This window comes from Homo sapiens, chromosome 1 (genome assembly GCF_000001405.40).
Source record: "Homo sapiens chromosome 1, GRCh38.p14 Primary Assembly".
Taxonomy (NCBI): Eukaryota; Metazoa; Chordata; class Mammalia; order Primates; family Hominidae; genus Homo; species Homo sapiens.
In genome coordinates, this window is record NC_000001.11 from 191,173,873 (window position 1) to 191,191,752 (window position 17,880).

The following is a 17,880-nucleotide window of genomic DNA, read 5'->3' on the forward strand; positions in this document are numbered from 1 at the left end:
TCCCTGAATTTCAGCCTGGATCTGTGATGGCTATTTAATATCTCCATCTAGTTGTAAAATAGGCATCTCAAAGTTAACTTCTCAATAAATATATCCTTACCAAGCCCAGGTATTCACAATCTACTCATCCAACACTTTTTTTCTACCTGATTAAAGGTGTACAGTTGAACAATAGCAATCCAGGGGTTTAGGGTTACCAACTCTTAAGTATTCAAAAATCTGCATATAACTTTTGACTCCCCCACAAACTTGACTACTAATAGCCTATTACTGACCAGAAGCTTTACTGATAACATAAACTTTCGATTAACACGTTTTGTATATGTATTATATAGTGTATGCTCACAATAAAGTAAGCTAGAGAAAAGAAGCTGTTACTAAGAAAATCCAGGTCTTGTTCAACCAAATGGCAGGCAGCTGCTGTTTGTAAGAAAGAAAATACATTATCTATTCACTAAGTGGAAGTGAATGATTATAAAGGTCTTCAACCTCTTTGTCTTCATGCTGAGTAGGCTGAGGAGGAGAACAAAGAGGAGGGGTTGTTCTTGCTGTCTCAGGGGTGACAGAGGTAGAAGAAGTGGAAGAGACAGAAGAGGAGGCAGGAGAAACAAGCACACTTGGAGTAACCTAAGAAAAACACATGGTAGTTTCTGTCTGACTTTCTTTCACTTTCATTTCCCTAAAAATGTTGTTATATGGTACCAACTCTTATTTCACCATTTGCTTTTGTTTCTGTGACCATGTCATAGAAAGGTCTATGTCATAAAAGGAGTCAAAATTCGTCTTGAAAAATCAGATTCTTTCCACCAGATTGTCTAATGTCAATTTATTTCTGGCACTGATTCTATGCCTTTTCCTCATTGCCTGACACTAGTTTGAAAGCACTCATCTCCATCAAGTCATCTGTTAATTCTTCTGGTGTGGTGTCTTAATTAGCTCTTGAGTTTCTCCAAGATCCATATCTTGAAACTCTCTGTCTCTCATCTTTTTGCCATATCCATCATTGCTTTCGTTATTTCTTTGATTGGCTCAGTCATAAATCCTGTGAAGTCATGAACAAAATCTGTACACAGATTTCTGCAGCAGGAATTTACTGTTTGGGGTTAATGGCTTTCACGACTTTTTCTATCACAGCAATATCTTCAATGATGTAATTCTTTCATATTTTTATAATGTTTTCTCTGTTGGCGTTCTCCTTCAGAGTGTTGACAATCCTTTTCAAAGAGTACTGTGTGTAATGACATTTAAAGGTCCTTATGATCCACTGATCTAGAGGCTGAATTAGAAATGTGTTTGGGGGCAGTTGGCCACTTTGATCCACTTGTTGTTAAATTCATCGGGTTCTGGGTGGCCAGAGGCATTGTCCAGTCAAAAGAAAATAAAAAGGCAACCCCCCACTGGCAAGGTACATCCTGACTTTGGGGACAAAGCATCAATGGGAACAATTCAGAAAAAGTGTTCTTGTTGTCCAGGTATTGTGGTACAACCAAATGATTGTCAGCTGATGTTTATCTTTTTTTTTTTCCTTTAAGGCTCAGGGGTTAGTAGCTTTATAGACAAGGGCAGTCCTGATCATAAACTTTACTGCATTTGCACAAAACAGTAGAGATAGCCCATTCCTTCCTTCCTTAAGTCTCAGTACTTTCTTCTCTTCCTTACTAATGTTCTTTGTGGTTTTTTTGTTTGTTTGTTTGTTTATCTAGAATAAGGCACTTTGGTCTGCATTAATAATCTGTTTATGTAGATACCTCTTCTCCTAACAATTTTCTTAATGACTTCTGGGAACTCTGCTGCCTCTTGGTTGATGGAAGCTGGCTTTTCAGTTGCCTTGACATTTTTTAAGCCAAACCTCTTTCTAAAATTATCAAACCACCCTTTGCTGGCATTAAATTCTCCAGCTTTAGATCTGTTGCCTTTCTTTCACTTTAAGTTGTCGTATAATTACCTCACTTTTTCTAGAATTAGGTTGGTATCAATAGGTATGCCTGTCACACAGCAATCCTATACCCACATAAAACCTGCATTTTTAATGAAAGATAAGGTACTTTGCATAAAGTGCAAGGTTTTTGTGTCTTCTGGTGTAGCTGCAGCAACAGCTTTACAAATTTCTTTTTCTTTTACAACGGTCCTTATGCTGGATTAATTTATCTTTTAAGGTCAGACAACCACAGCTGTAGACCTAAATTTACAGTACATATCAAGTAATTTAACTTTTTCTTACAATGTCATGACTTTTCTCTGCTTTTTGGGAGCACTTCCAGTATCACTAGTGGCACTTCCCATGGGTTCCATGGTGTAATTCAAGGTTTACAGTATTGCATGAAACATGATAAAATATGTGAAAACTATGAGAGATCACTTTTTGCTGCAATACTCAGTTTACTAAAGAGAGAAACTGCTCACATGGAGATAATTAGCATCATGTGGCTTTTTAAGTAGATAGGCAAAACACTTGAACTCACCACAATAGCAGCAGGAGGTGGCTAGGAAATTATTACAGTAGTATAGCATGTAACACATTTAGTTTTATCTAGTTATGGTTTAATACTGCATCTTTATGCTTCTTCATATTCTTCTTAACTTCAAATGGTGCCTTGTACAGAAAGTGTTTGTGTGTTTACGTTTTGATAAATTTTAACTTTTTGTAATATATTTCTACAACTTGAATATATAAAATGATAAAATAATAGTATTTACATATATTTTTACATTCATGACATACCTAACATTTTCTTAATTTTCTTGATAACTATGGCTACATAGTTAATCTGTGAGATTTTTCAAGTTGTTGCAAATCTCCCAAATTGTTTCCAATATATTTATTGAAAAAATCTCTGTATAAATCGATCTGCACAATACAAATATCATTATTCAAGGGTCAACTATAAACATATCTGTATTATCTATTCTTAAGAAAGCAGTCACAGGAATCTTTGAAGTAAATGTCAGGTCACATTACTCCTTTACACAATACGCAAATTTGGTTGCTCATAAAGACCTACATGATGTGTCACATAACCCCTTATGATTTGATCCATTACTACTTTAGCCACACTGAACTTCTTAATGCATTGCAACCAAACATGCTTTAACCTCAGGCATTTTCACTAACCACTCTAAAATCTGGTAGAGCCATCCTTTCAGATCATTACAAAAGTTGTTCCCCACTTTTCTTCAGGCTTAAGCTAAAAAATCATTAGATAATGAAGCCTTGCCTTACCCCTGTATTAAAAGAGAATGCTTCATGCATGTGCATGCACAGGAACTTGCACACACAGAAACACAAAATGCCGTAATTGAATCTCTGAGTTTGCTATTCCTTTTTCTATAGTGCTGAACACCACTTAACACGCTATATATTTAATTTTTAACTTTTTAGTTTGTGTTTTTAGTTCACTAAGATTTAAGGTACACAAGGTTACGAACTTTCTTCTCTATTTTTTTTTCTTCAAGTTTTCTTTCTTGAAATATAAGTGCTCAACAAATGCATTAATAAATTACATGCAATAAGCAGAACCAAACTATATGTCATTATTGGAAAAAATTCATGTATTTAAATTAAGAGAAATATCAGAAAGAAAAATTCCAAGTTTAGAATAGTGGTTACCCCTGGAGAGACAACTGTGTTGGGGTAGATGATAAATTCTGCTACCTTTAAATTTGTTTTAATAAAAAATGAATTACTCTATGAAAATTAAAATTAAAATGTGTAAATTGTATATTCCCACTGAAATTTGTTTTTAGAAAAGACAAAAGATGGAATAAAAATTAAATATAATCATATTATATATAGACAACTATCATCAATTTATTTTCAGTCCATTCTTCTTGTATTAGTTTTTCTCTTTTCCTATGTGTATTCATATATTTCCATAGCTGCTATCATAAGTAGCCTTTTAATGACTTCATATTATTACATAATGTATATGTACTATTATAAGTTTAATTTAAATAACTTGTTTTACATAAATATTTACTTGGGTGACTGCTATTTTTTTTAGTGTATATGTCTCAAAGAGACATTTTTAATACCAAGGAAATACCTATTGTTAACAATTGTAATCTAAGAATTTGTTTTCCCACCAGTAGTCTTGCTTCAGCAGACCCTTCTCTATATATAATCATTTCACAATTTTCAATATTACTTCCAAATATACACATTTTGTTATAGTTCAATATGTAAGTAATTTAATATTGGTTTAAATGCCATTATTTGTGCTATTTACTGTTTACATTTATTCTTTGGTGATACAATGTGATTTCCTGTTTTCTTATTGTTTGGAAATGAGCTTTTCGTATAGATTAACACTGTTTTCCTCTCTTTATAAAAAAGTATAACATGTATCATAATGTCTAGCTTTACTTTTAAATTAGAGCTTTTGGACAATTTTGTAACTTTAAATTCATTATCAGAGGTGGAGAAAACATTAATAAGCTATTAAATATTGATAGTGATTAAAATTACTGGACCATTATTTATAAAAGCCATGTTTAATAACAATAACTTCTATTTATACTATTTAACTGAAGAAGATGCCCTTTAGCTTTTACTTCTAATTCCAGCTTATTGTGGTTTGGAAATCATTTACCTTTTGCAACAAATTAGTATTCCCAACATGTTTTTCCCAAATTTTAAGACTTTCTTTACCACTTATGAAGTGTGACTTAACTTACTCTTTTAAAATTTCCTTAAGAGAAATTTAAAATTTTAATTTTCACCTTGAACCTGTTTGATCAAAAAGTGTAGGATATCATTACCACATGAATTAAAAAAGAATAGAATAAAAAACAAAAGTGGTATGATATCATTAGCAAAGTGTCTGATGAGACATTTTAACTACTTCACATTTCTACTCAGTCCAAGCAAGAATAAACCGGTTCCAAGGAGCTACCACATTTGTCGTTTTTACTGCAAGCTTTGAATTAGTGTTTCTTTTCCTAGCAAGTCAACTCTAAGAAAATGACATTTCATAAGTACAACAATTGTAGGTGATATTCTACATAATCAAGGTAATGAGAACTTTTTACAAAATTAAGTTAAAATGCAGAATATCTTTGCAATTACCATTTATCTAAAAGGCTAAAATAGGAAAAATTCAGAAAATTAATGTGCTCATTGATTGATATTATTTTCTTTGAGAAAACCAGAAATGATTCTATTCCAAGAAATAAGAAATAATAATAATAATAAAAGATGTAATTTATATATTGTGTTTCTTTTAAGCCAAATCACACTTTTACTTCAGAGAGCACAATTCTTACTTTGACATTCATAAACTTCTTTGTCCAGAACAGGACTTCATTTTAAACCATTATTTCAATGGAGTTCAAAATATATAGTCAGTTTTCTCCACAGGATGTTTTCATTTAAGTACTTAAGCTGCAAAATGGCAAATGACTAAGTCAGTTACAAAGAATGTGTAGCTTATTAAATGCAATCTTAAAATAACTGTGAACAGACACCAACAAACGTCTATATCCAAGCCTAAATGTTATTATATTATTGAGGTCAGCACTAATGTGATTCTCCCATATGGTCAAATTTTATTTACTAAATAATAACTGTTATGAAATCCAACAAAGAAACCATAGAGGATCCTTCAAAAGATGATAATTTTCCAAATAATTTTCCTCTTATTCTTTCCCCTATCCTTTTTAAGTGGTTTGACTTTGGCGATATTTTCTTGACTCCTGTTTCTTCTTTTGCTGTTTTCCCGGCTCCACAATCATCTTCTTCAGTTTCCAGGACATAAAGCACTTGCTAGGACCAGTGAAATGAGGGCCAAAATAGCCGTTGTGAGGAAGCTACTTGAAATCTTTGCAGCCCATTCCACAATATAGTCATCCCAAGCCATTATATCAAACATCTTTGAATGGGTTTTAGGACAATATGCTTGAGTAGTGATCCCTAACTTTATTCTAGGATGGTTCGTGAGCTAATCACAATTTCATGATGCTTGGTTGTTTGTTTTCTTTAGTTCTACTGTATCTCTAAAGTAAAGGTTTAAATCCTACTGGAGCCACAGACCCCAAGGACTACATTTACCTCTTACCCTCAGCTTTGGCAAGTGTAAGTCCCTGGTCTCACAGCTGGGCAGCAATCACAGAGCATAGAGTCCCCAAAGCAAGGCAGTAACTGTCTCAGCTGGGCACCCAGGCAAAATCATGGCAGCAACTGCAACCTGCGTTTCCTATCTCTGGCCCAGGCCAGGGACTCAGAATCCCAATTAACAGATTTTATTAAAAGTATGTTATGATGTTTCTACATTTGGTAAGATAATATCAATCCACACCTTGTTTATATTTTGTTAATTTATTTTTATTATAAAAACAATATAATAGAATGTTTAGGTTGTACAGAGCTAGATATGTTCATTTCTCAATTGATTCCACATTGGTATCATTTCTAATAAAAATACTTTAAAAACTATTGTTTACTTATTTTTATTCTGTTACTTGTATTTATGATTAGATGATTGCTTTTACATTTTATTCCATATAATTTCCTCAAATGTTAGCCAATTGCCCCAACATTGTTTTAAGAAAAAAGTAACTCTTTCGCATTGATTTTAAATACTTCATGTATTGCATATTGAATAAAATACATGTCTGCTTATGAGCCTTCTTACCATTACTTTTTTCAGAACACTAAGTTCCAAATCAAAAATCCAATAAAATTCCAGTACTTTCAGAAATTCAGTACTTAAAATGCCTCTTAGACAATAGTCAGCATGCATTAAATGGTTTTCACAAAATCTCTTCACAAACTGTATCCTCCTTTAGACTTTATCCTCACTTAGTCTACTTTTAAAAAAACAAATTAATGTCATTTAATTTTCCTAGGTAATTTTGTATCTCATTTACATATTGATTATAAATCATACCCAACTTTTACAACTGAGCAACACCTTCAATATTACTGAAACATAAAAATTCATTAAAGTTCCCACACTTTTACTTTCTTTTGAGAACTACAATGTCCACAAGGTAAAATAATACTGTTTTTCATGTTCTACTGAAGAAAAAACAGTATCAATTGCTTTTTATACTTTTTCACTTTTAGTAAACACCAGGTGTGACTTACTGTACAAGAGTACCTAAAGCCAGTCGGAGAACATTTTATGTTGTGATTAAAGGTTCTTTAAATGCATTTCCTGTAATACCAATTCCTCAAAGCTACACCTATAACTTCAACCAGATGCTAATTCTTTGAACTGTAATTAACAGTGTGACACTTATGAAGTAATTTTTAGAATGATTACAGTCACTGTACTTTTATTCTCCAGAAGTGCTAAGTACTGTAATCATCACCTGTTCACGGCAAGTCTTATTGCACCACAGGCTATTAACAACGAATGGCCCTGTTTAACCAAAGCTTCATTCCTAATGAATTATCAGTAACTGGGTTTTTATGTCCAAAAAATGAACTGTCAAATCCTGCTTCTCTTTTATGATGTGAACTCATTCTCATATATAAAATGTGTTTTTAAAAAACCTAATTATTTTGGTGAGTGTGACTCTTCAAAAGTATTTTACATTTGTACAAATAATCTTTTAAAAATTACACAAGTAATCTTGGAAATGTGTGTAATTCTCCCTAAAAAAATAAACGGATACACTGTAAACCTTTTCATTCTGTATTTTAACATAAGGTAAAATTAACTTAGGAGAGAGGGTGTATGAAGTTTGACCCATGTGTGCATTTATATAAACATATCAATAAACCCTACTTCTGAAAGGACCAAAACACTAGGTAGGGTAGGTTTTGTTTTTCCCCTTTTTTCCAAATGTAAAATAGACTCTGAAAGATTGAATAATTTGTCCAGTCACGTGTCTCATAATCAGCAAGAACTCACGTAATCTAAGTAGAAATCTACCAAAGCTTTCAAAGAGGTGATGGAAACTTTCTGTACGGCAGTCTTTCTTTGTTGATTAGCTTGATTATGTGATCCACCAGAGCACTGTTCTGACTTCATATTCTTTATTTCTCATAACAGAGGATCAGGGCATGCAGCAGTGTGCAAAGGATAGCCTAGTAGCTCCACGCTGGCATGGGCGAAGCCATCTGCCTGTGCTGAAACTCTGAATTGCCACATGTTAAAGCTAAAAGTGACACCAAAGGAGAAGCCACTTCTGATTGTTCCACTCTGCATTCCAACACCAAGAACCATATCCAGCAAACAGTAGGTGCTCAGTAAGTGTTCATGGAATGGCTGGGTAATTTATTTGTTTTTCTATGCCTTATTTTCTACTTTTATGGTGATAATAATGGTACTAAATGTATCCTAAGGTTGTTATAAATGGTATCTGAGGTGATATTTTAGAGCATTTAGCACATTATAATCAGCAACGAGTATTAATGATTCTTTAATTCAGAAAATATTCATTATGCTCTTAATCTATAATGTAATTGGAGAGAGAAAGATTCAAATAGTTCATTGAATGTCAAGGGCATTTATAGTTGAGAAACCATTTTCTCTTTAATCAGTGCAAATTACATTTATTGTTGCTCTTTTATTTTGCTCTTATCAATACAAAACCGTGTTTACTTTGGGGATGCTATCTTCAATGATCTCACAACAGTCAAGAAAGGGAGGTACACCAAGGGCTGCAGAGCCCCAGACTGAAGAACTCCTAAGAGAATTTAATAGGTTGTCTCAGACAAGGTCTAGTATTAGAGGCCATAGCACTCACCTGGTGGTATACTACCTTAGGTACAAGGAGCCCAGCAAACTACAAGGGCACACATACCATAGACAGGGAAAAATAAAGCCATCTTTTTTTTTTCTTTTCCTCTTCTGATTTTTTTTAAATTTTTTAATTACAAATGAGAAAAATTTGAGCCCAAGGCCAGAGAAGGCAGGTCTAAGTAGCAGAGGAGGGAGAGCATCAGAGTCCCTGCCCTGGGAAACCAAAACAGTGGCTAGTTGTTTTTGAAGTCTATCACCCAAGTCACCCAAAGTGGGTGTCCAGGACCAAATTCCCAAGATAACCATGCTTCCTCATCCTCCTCTCCTGGGAGTATGTAGTTTGGGTAAGACTTTGGAATGTCTGGAAATCCTGCTTCCACAAAGCCAGGCATCAGTGATGAGGAACATCCCCCAACCCCCAGGCACTTTCTATCCTAGAAAGGTGAAGAGCTTGAATTTAGGCAAGAGAAGAAAAACTTTCTATAATATAATTAATAATTGGAAGAATTGTTGATATTTACAAATGCAGTTGCTTTTTTTACATTGATCTCAAATGGAGTAATCTTATTAAATATATATACTTAATCTAAACATTTACTTGTAGGTAGCTTTTAGATATTTTGTGCAGGCATGCATATCTTTTCTGAGTAAAGACAGATATATGGTTTCCTTTTCAATTCTTAGATTTTAGTTAATTAACATTGTTATTGCACTTGGCTAGACTCTCCAGTACAGTGTCTAATCAAATTTGGGAAAGTGAATATCCTTGAACTGTTTCCTTAGATAAGAATTGTTCCCGAGTTTAAATACTCATCTAAGGGGGTGAAACAGCCTTCAGTATTTTAACATTCAGTATTAACAATTAATATTAAATTAAAATTAATTTTTGCTTTAAATAATAACATATTTTATTTATTTTAATATTTTTATATTTAATCATCATTTTCAATGCTTACATGGGTTATTAGATTTGAATCTGTCCATTTTCTTACCTCTAATTCTATTTTTTCAGGAGAATTAGACAATAATAATATATATTGTTTTTATTATCTAAATGCCCTGGTGTCTTTTACCTAGTTTTAGTGTCTACAGAACAGAATAATCATAGCAGGAGGGAGGTAGGAGCCTGGCAGGACCAGGTGACGACAGGCCAAAACCACCAACAAGCGGCACCGACAGTAACCTCTAGTTGCCCTGGCTGCTCATCAGCACAGGACATTTCCACCAGGGCTATGATAGTTTATGAATGCCATCGCAACGTATGGAAGTCACCACCCATTTCCATGGCAACAGCTGGAAATTAGTGCCCATTTTCTAGCGATTGATGTATAACCTGCCCCTTTATTTGTATGCCATCAAAGTGGGTATAAATACAACTGTCAACTGCCCATTGCCTGTTCTAGCCACTTTGCTTATGCGCTAGCCTTGCTCTGCAAGGAGCAGTCACAGAACTGTTAACACTGCCACCACCTTAATAAAACTGCTTTCTTCCATCACTGGCTTAATCTTAAATTATTTCCTGGGTGACGTCAAGAATCTGCCCTGCATCAAAAGGACTAAAGATTAACCAGAGACTGCTCTGTTTCTCTACGTATTACCTTATAGATTTTTTAACCTCTTTTACTATTTTTTCATAATTAAATCAAGATATTTATATACAACCTGTATAAGGATTGTTGATTATTTGTACATTTTAATCTACATAATTTGATCATTAGACAGTAAACAAATAAATATAAGGTGCTATTTAAGGAAATGCAAATGACTTGAATTTCAGCAATTCTGCATTATACTCTTGTATCAATATACTTAGTATCGATAATTCTGCAACTGGCTCTTGAACAACATGGGTTTGAATTTATATGAAGATTTTTTAAACTAAATGCAAATTCAAAATGCAGTATTTGTGGAATGTGAAACTCACATACAGGGAGAACAGACTTTTTGTCAATGCAGGTTTTCACTGCTGGACTTACGTGCAGATTTTGTTATACAATGGTCCTGAATAAATCCTCCACATATACTGAGAGATGACTATACTTTATTTGCTTAATTCCTGAACACAGGGAAAAAAAAACACAGTAAATGTCTCAAAATCTGACCTCTGAAACACATATGAACCCAGAAATCATCCCAAAAGTCATGGTAAACTCCACATGTACAAAAATTTACTTACTCAAAGATTTTTTTTAATTAAGTATATTTGTTATAAAACAAAACATTTGCATATAATAATCTATTTTAATACTATTATCATAGAGAAGTTACTAGATTATAAATCAGTCATCATACTTTAAAAGAATCTTTGTAATTCCTGTAATTCTCATATCATTTAAGAAACAACTTTGTACGATGCCTACACATCCCTACTACCTAAATGACAATATGTTATATATTGTTATGTGATTGTTTCTCCATAAGAGTTTCCAAGTTCTTTGTAGGCGGACACTATGTATCATTTGTCCAAGGCATGACAGTAAATGCTTAATAAATTTTGAAACATGAGTATATTATTTTGTAATATGGTGTTCTTAATTAATTTAAAATGAATTGTTTAACTTATCTACATTTGCCCAGGTACTATCATTTAAAGGCCTTAAGATGATTTTGCTCTCATATTCATGTACATTTCAAATTTTCAAGACATTTTCCAGTACAAGTACAAATAATGGCAAGTAATGTAATTGGTAAAATATTGTGTATATCATTTTTTAAAGGAAAATTTGTACAATTACTCATTTGAATATCTAATGCAAACATGATACCCATAATCATATATCTAAATCTCCATGAATAGGTTCTTAAGTTTTACATTGTTCCTTTTACTTTTTTTATTTTTTTTACATTTTGAGCTTTCTCCAGATAATTATTATCCTATTAAAAATAATTTGAGCTTTAAACATCTGTTTATTATCACAATATTTGTCTGAAAATTAATGTGTTTCCACATTAAAAATAATTTTAATATTCAGTTACCATGAAGCTCTGTGTATTAACATTTTTCCTTCTGGATTGAGTAACCATTTAAATTATTTGTGGTATAAAATTGGTTGAAATAATTATATTACAAATATTAATTGACAAGTTATTGCTGAGAATTTATCTACTAATAAAATAAAATGTATTATTAGTAATTTATTTACCCATTTTTATTACTTACTGCCAGAGTAATAAAAGTATTATCGTTCTACATTTATTTTTTTTTTTCTATTTTATGTGTTTAGAGTAACTTTGTTCAAATTTCTAGATGAATAGTCATAGATTTTTAGTAGTGTCACTCAATTTTTCCAACTATTAAAAAACAAGACAGAATCAATCAGTGATCTATCTTTAAAATGTTAAAAGATATCAAAGATTATTTTATTATTCTTAAATTTGCTAAAAGCTAAAAATTATAATGAACCTGTGTTGTTGAAATAGTCTCTTGGAATTCATTAAACTAATTCGTTTTTCATTTTCTCCTCACCCACACTAACATTTCAAATTACCTTATAATTTGAACTTCTAGTGATTTTCTGACCCCAGAAAAATGGACTACAGTAAGATTAGTGATGCATTGTATGTGTGTTTATGTGTGTGTGTAGTAACAGAAAGGCGGAATGTGAAACGGAAAATAAAGCAGCATCTTCATGGTGATCCACAGTAGCCTCTTTGCTTTTATAACAAATACCTTTTTAAAACAGCCTATCACAATTCAGAAAAAATTAATTTCTCTAAAGGTATTTACCTGGGTGCAGTGGCTCACACCCGTGATCCTAGAACTTTGGGAGGCCGAGGAGGGCAGATCATCTGAACTCAGGAATTCGAGACCACCCTGGGCAACGTGGTGAAACCCAGTTCCTACTAAAAATACAAAAATTAGTCAGGTGTGGCCTCTAATCCCAGCTACACGGGAGGCTGAGGCAGGAGAATCGTTTGAACCCAGGAGGTGGAGTTTGCAGTGAGCCGAGATCACACCACTATGTTCCAGCCTGGGGTCTCCAATTACTTATGATATATGTATCTCCAGTTTGATGTTTATCAGTAATAAGTAACTTAAATATGAGGACAGTATGTTCAGAGTGCTACAGGGATGCATCATTCATGTAGTCAAATTCAAGAGAATGTCTCCTAGTTCAACTATGAATAATTACGGAAGAAAACATTATTTGGAAAGCATTTTTCAACAAAATCCCATAAAGACTATTTTATTGTATTCACATGGTTTGGCTCTGTGTCCCCAACCCATATCTCATTTCAAATTGTAATGCCCATGTGTCAAGGAAGGGACATGGTGGGAGGTAATTGGATCATGGGGGCATTTTCCCCCATGCTGCTCTAGTGATAGTGAGTGAGTTATCATGTGATCTGAGAGTTTTATATGGCAGTTTTCTCTGCTCTCTCTTGCACTTGCTCTCTTGCCTGCTGCCATGTAAGACATGCCTGCTTCCCCTTCCACCATGATTGTAAGTTTCCTGAGGCCTCCCCAGCCATGCAAAACTATGAGTCAATTAAACCTCTTTTTACAAATTACCCAGTCTTGGGTAGTTCTTTATAGCAGTGTGAGAACAGACTAACACATGTATCCTCACAATTAGCCTATGATATTATTCTAGATATTATTCTAATTATCCTTCTTTTTTAGATGAGACGTGTGCACAGTTTCTCATAGCAGCTAGGATGTGGTACTGCTAAGGCTTAAGCCCAGGTTTGTCTGAATCTAGAACATGTGTTTCTGTTTTTGAACTGACTCTACTACTCTCCTAGAATAGCCATTGTAATTTGGGAGCATTATGGAATTACTGTCACAATACTAGTTTAAAATTATTTCTATCCATTTGGAGATAATGATTTAATTAAACGAGTAACATGAATTTCTAACATACTAATTTCTTTAACTTCATAAAGCTCATACATAGAATGAAATTAGTTTATTAGGTATTATTAGTAATAGTATTATATTAAATGAATTATCTGAGCTGCTCTCTTGATACCATTTTTAAAAAATTATTCATGGTTGGGCCAGGCGTGGTGGCTCACGCCTATAATCCCAGCACTTTGGGAGGCCGAGGCTGGCGGATCACAAAGTCAGGAAATCGAGACCATCTTGGCTAACATGGTGAAACCCTGTCTCTATCAAAAATACAAAAAAATTAGCCGGGCGTGGTGGTGGGCACCTGTAGTCCCAGCTACTCAGGAGGCTGAGGCAGGAGAATGGCATGAACCTGGAAGGCAGAGCTTGCAATGAGCCGAGATCGTGCCCCTGCACTCTAGCCTGGGCAACAGAGTGAGACTCTGTCTCAAAAAAATAAAAAATTATTCATGGTTATTTCTATAGTTCATGTAATATAACTTTTATTATTTTGGTAGTAACACTAATTGCATATTATATCTTAACAAGCAATATAACCCATCTTCATTTATTCTCCTTAGGTTGACAATTTTGTTAGTAAGCACTTTAAATCCTCTATAGCCTGTGAAAAGTAGCATGAAATATATTTGATTATAGAAATCTCACAGTAATCCAGCTAATCTTGGTCTCTCACTTCCCTCATATTCAGGTACCCCCAGCTTTATTATTCTCATACTATACTTTATCCAGTGGATCCTAAAATGACTTCCTCAGCAAACCTTACCTACGACATAACTAAATGTATTGCAAGCTTAGCCATTTTCCTTTAATTGTTAAATACCTAACTCATAGTCTCCCATAAGGTTAAAACAAAATGTATTTACAAGACTAAGTATATGACATATATATGTATATGTATCCAGATATATTGTGCGTATATATGCATATTTATCTGTGTGTGTGTGTGTGTGTGTGTGTGTGTGTGTGTGTGTGTGTGTGTGTGTTTATATAAAACCATGCAATGCCAAGTACAAGCCATTTGGCATTTGGATCTGGGTTCACATTGAAAATCAAACTTAATGGACACAATAGGCTTTAAACACCACCAGGTTTACTTAGCTTTAAGAAATAATACAAAAAAAAAACACACAATCCACAACAATATTAGTACATAAAACTCCTGTTTTTTAAGTTCAGCTCCCAATACCCCAGTTCTCCCAATTTTATACTTGGGCCAGGAATGATAAAGAGAGAAAGTTAAGTGTGCGTAGGTACCTCAACCCTGTGAAGTTAAGTCTGGGACTTTATCATGTTTCTTACCCAGCTAACCATGTGGCTCACTCAGATACATGTGACTGGCACTATTCTCCAGATCAGCAGCTTCTCATTAATGCCTGTTCTTAATTACTCTATAAAAACCTTGAATATTAATTATAGGTACATGGTTCAGTGCATAGCTCTGGCTGGATTTTCAGTTATTTGGTATCAGGTATGAGTAAGCTCCTAACAATTTCTTGAAATCATGATCATATGAGTTTCCTAGGGCTGCTGTAGCATATACCGTGAATTGAATGGCTTAAAGCAATGTGAATTTATCATCTCCATACTACAGTCCAAAATGTAGAAATCAGGTGTCAGCAAGGTTTGTTTCTTTTGAAGACATTGAGGGAGAATCTGTTTCATGCCTCTCTCTAGTTTCTGGCTTTTTGGCAATTCATGGTGACCCTTGGCTTGTAGACTTATCACTCCAATCTGTGTCTGTCTTCACTTGGCTTTCTGTTTCTGTTTCTTCTCCACTACTTACATAAATTCTTATAACTAATTGGATTTAGGGGCCACATTAAATCCAGGATGATGTTGTCTCAAGATCTTTAATTATAGCTATAAAGATTCTTTTCCAAATAAGGCCCCATTTTGAGGTTCAGGGTGAACATGAATTTGGCTGAGGGGGTTAATTATTCAACTCATCACAATCATGCAATGAGAATGGCCAAAGGTCAATCCAATGTCCTTAAGTCTAGAGGGAAGATTAATAACACTTTTTAAATATGTTTCTTTTAAATTATCTTATTTTTAAGGAAGTCTTGAGACCACCTGAAATTGATAGGCAATAAGACCAGTAGGTTAGAGTGAAGTAATATGGTAACTAGAAACATTCCATGTGCAGAGAAAGAAATTTTTGTCATTATGCTCAGTTCCATTTTCCCATCAGAAAATGAAAATTAAGAGTACCAGTAATTAAACAAAAATTCCTTAATAATTTTTACAAAACAAGGTGGGATCAAAAATCGATGCCTATTTACTACTGAGAACTACTGTTTTACACAATTTTTAGTTTTTCATAGAAAAACATCATATTCCTCATGATATTTATGCTTATTTTTCCTTCGAAATAGTATGCTGACAAAATATCAGTCTCTAAAACTTTAAGAGTGTGTTTACCTCACTGAATCTTTCGTCTTTTTCTTAGTGAACTTTTTGGATTTTTTTAAATAAACGCAAGCCCTAAACACTGAAATGCTATACCTATGAGGAACAATTATTTCCTTAAAAGACAACATGATGAAATGCGAGATGCAGTGTGGTAAGGGAGACCTAACTGCTATGAAATTATTATAGTGCCATGTGATTTATTTTGAACCCCAACCATCATTTCACCATCCTGCTGTCTTCTTTATTGTTAGAGTGAATGCTTTCAGTGACATCTTATAAATCTTTGCTTTGGCCAATATTTTTGCAGCGTCTTAACATAGAAGAGGTATGCACAGCTTTCACTACCTCCAAGATTTAGAGGTATAATTTCAATTTAATGTGAAAAGTTTTAGCTGGGTAAGTTCCATTAGCCTCTTTTGTCAAGAAGGGAATATACCTATTCATTTTCATGTACAGTTTATATATTGAGCTCCATCAACACATGAAAGGTGTTATGTAGTGTCTGCAAAGATGGGAGTTTATTGTCTTTAACTGAGCTTCCCACATGCACAAAAGTCTTCTAATAATATTGATCTATATTTCTCTTAGTAAGCAAATGTCAGGTATATAAAAATTTATGAAATAAGGTGGCTTTTTCTCCCTATTAAAACACCTGTTGTCCAGGTAGCAGTGATTCTACCACTTGCCACACGCAGATATGACCTTCTCACCTTGTCCTCAATGCCTTCCCATAAACTACTCTGGGAAGTATTTGATAAAACAACTTATACTAAGATCTAAGTGACTTCTAAAACTCACTGTACTGCATAAGTTATGTGTAAGAATAGTTTATAAATTAGAATGTACAGTATCATGTATAATTTTAATATTCCAATTTATATGTACATTCACATGCAGGCTGGAGGGAGCTATGTAAAAATGTTAACAATTGTCACCTCTGAGTGATGTTTTGCTTTATACATATTTATTTATTTATCATTTTCTGAGTTTTCTACATTGAACCTATACTGCATAAACAGATGCAGGGAGAAGGAAATCCTGCTATGCCTGAAAAAACTTGTGCTGATTAAATAATGTTTTTGCATAGTAGCTTAGTAAATGTGATTACATGAAACTTCACTAAAGAGTGTTTCCAAAGTGTGCAGGATGGGATGCAATGGCTAATATTTTGATAGCAATATGTTGTCACTTTTGTACTCCACCAGGGTACTGTGTTGGGAAATTATTAGAAGTACTGCCCTTACTATTATTAACTCACAATTTTAGTTTAGCCAAAGAAAAAAACATCTTTTAAAGGAAAAAAAAGTAGCTTTGGAATACTTTGGGGGGTTTTTACATACAAATAAAAAAAAGCTATCCTCTCTGCCATAGCCAGTAAAGAGAGAATTGAGCTGCTATAAGTTACTTTTAAACCCAATCAAACATAATATATTGTTTTTACATTTCTAAATGAGTTATGATAGACCACTATATTTTAGAAGCAGTTTTTCAAATAGAAAAAGCTTGTGAGTAGGCAAAATAATTGCAACCTGAAATGTCTGATGAAACAACTCAAATGTCAAAGGACAGTTTTAAGATGCACATAAGGATATCATAAAAATATAATGGATTATTTTATCTTGTAATATTCAATATAGATATCAATTTACCATCTAGATATGGTTTAGTTCAATAGCAGCAACAAGATTCTGTCCAGGTTCAAAAATTAGCTAAACTGTTCAGTGTTTTGAGACCTCTATGCCAAGTGAAGCAATTTTCAACAGATGGTTAGTTCTACTCTATTTTATTCTTTTAATTCTATTCTAGTTTCTTTTTTTCACTCTAGGTTTTATCATAAAGGAAGAAAAAAAATCAGCAAATATTGATAATAAAGAAAACTTTAACCCAGAATAACGTTTAAATTTTTTTTGCATTTTCTCCATTTTT

At 33.5% G+C, this 17,880-nt stretch overlaps 3 annotated features.

The window, feature by feature from the left end:
• Positions 403 to 502: an enhancer, noted in NCBI's record as "active region_2255". NCBI's record gives its function as "activates an Ori minimal core promoter by ATAC-STARR-seq in GM12878 lymphoblastoid cells {active_cell/tissue: GM12878}" and the evidence as "EXISTENCE:reporter gene assay evidence [ECO:0000049][PMID:35858748]".
• Positions 533 to 672: an enhancer, noted in NCBI's record as "active region_2256". NCBI's record gives its function as "activates an Ori minimal core promoter by ATAC-STARR-seq in GM12878 lymphoblastoid cells {active_cell/tissue: GM12878}" and the evidence as "EXISTENCE:reporter gene assay evidence [ECO:0000049][PMID:35858748]".
• Positions 15,114 to 15,314: a silencer, noted in NCBI's record as "peak595 fragment used in MPRA reporter construct". NCBI's record gives its function as "represses an SCP1 promoter by STARR-seq MPRAs in K562 erythroleukemia cells {active_cell/tissue: K562}" and the evidence as "EXISTENCE:reporter gene assay evidence [ECO:0000049][PMID:32103011]".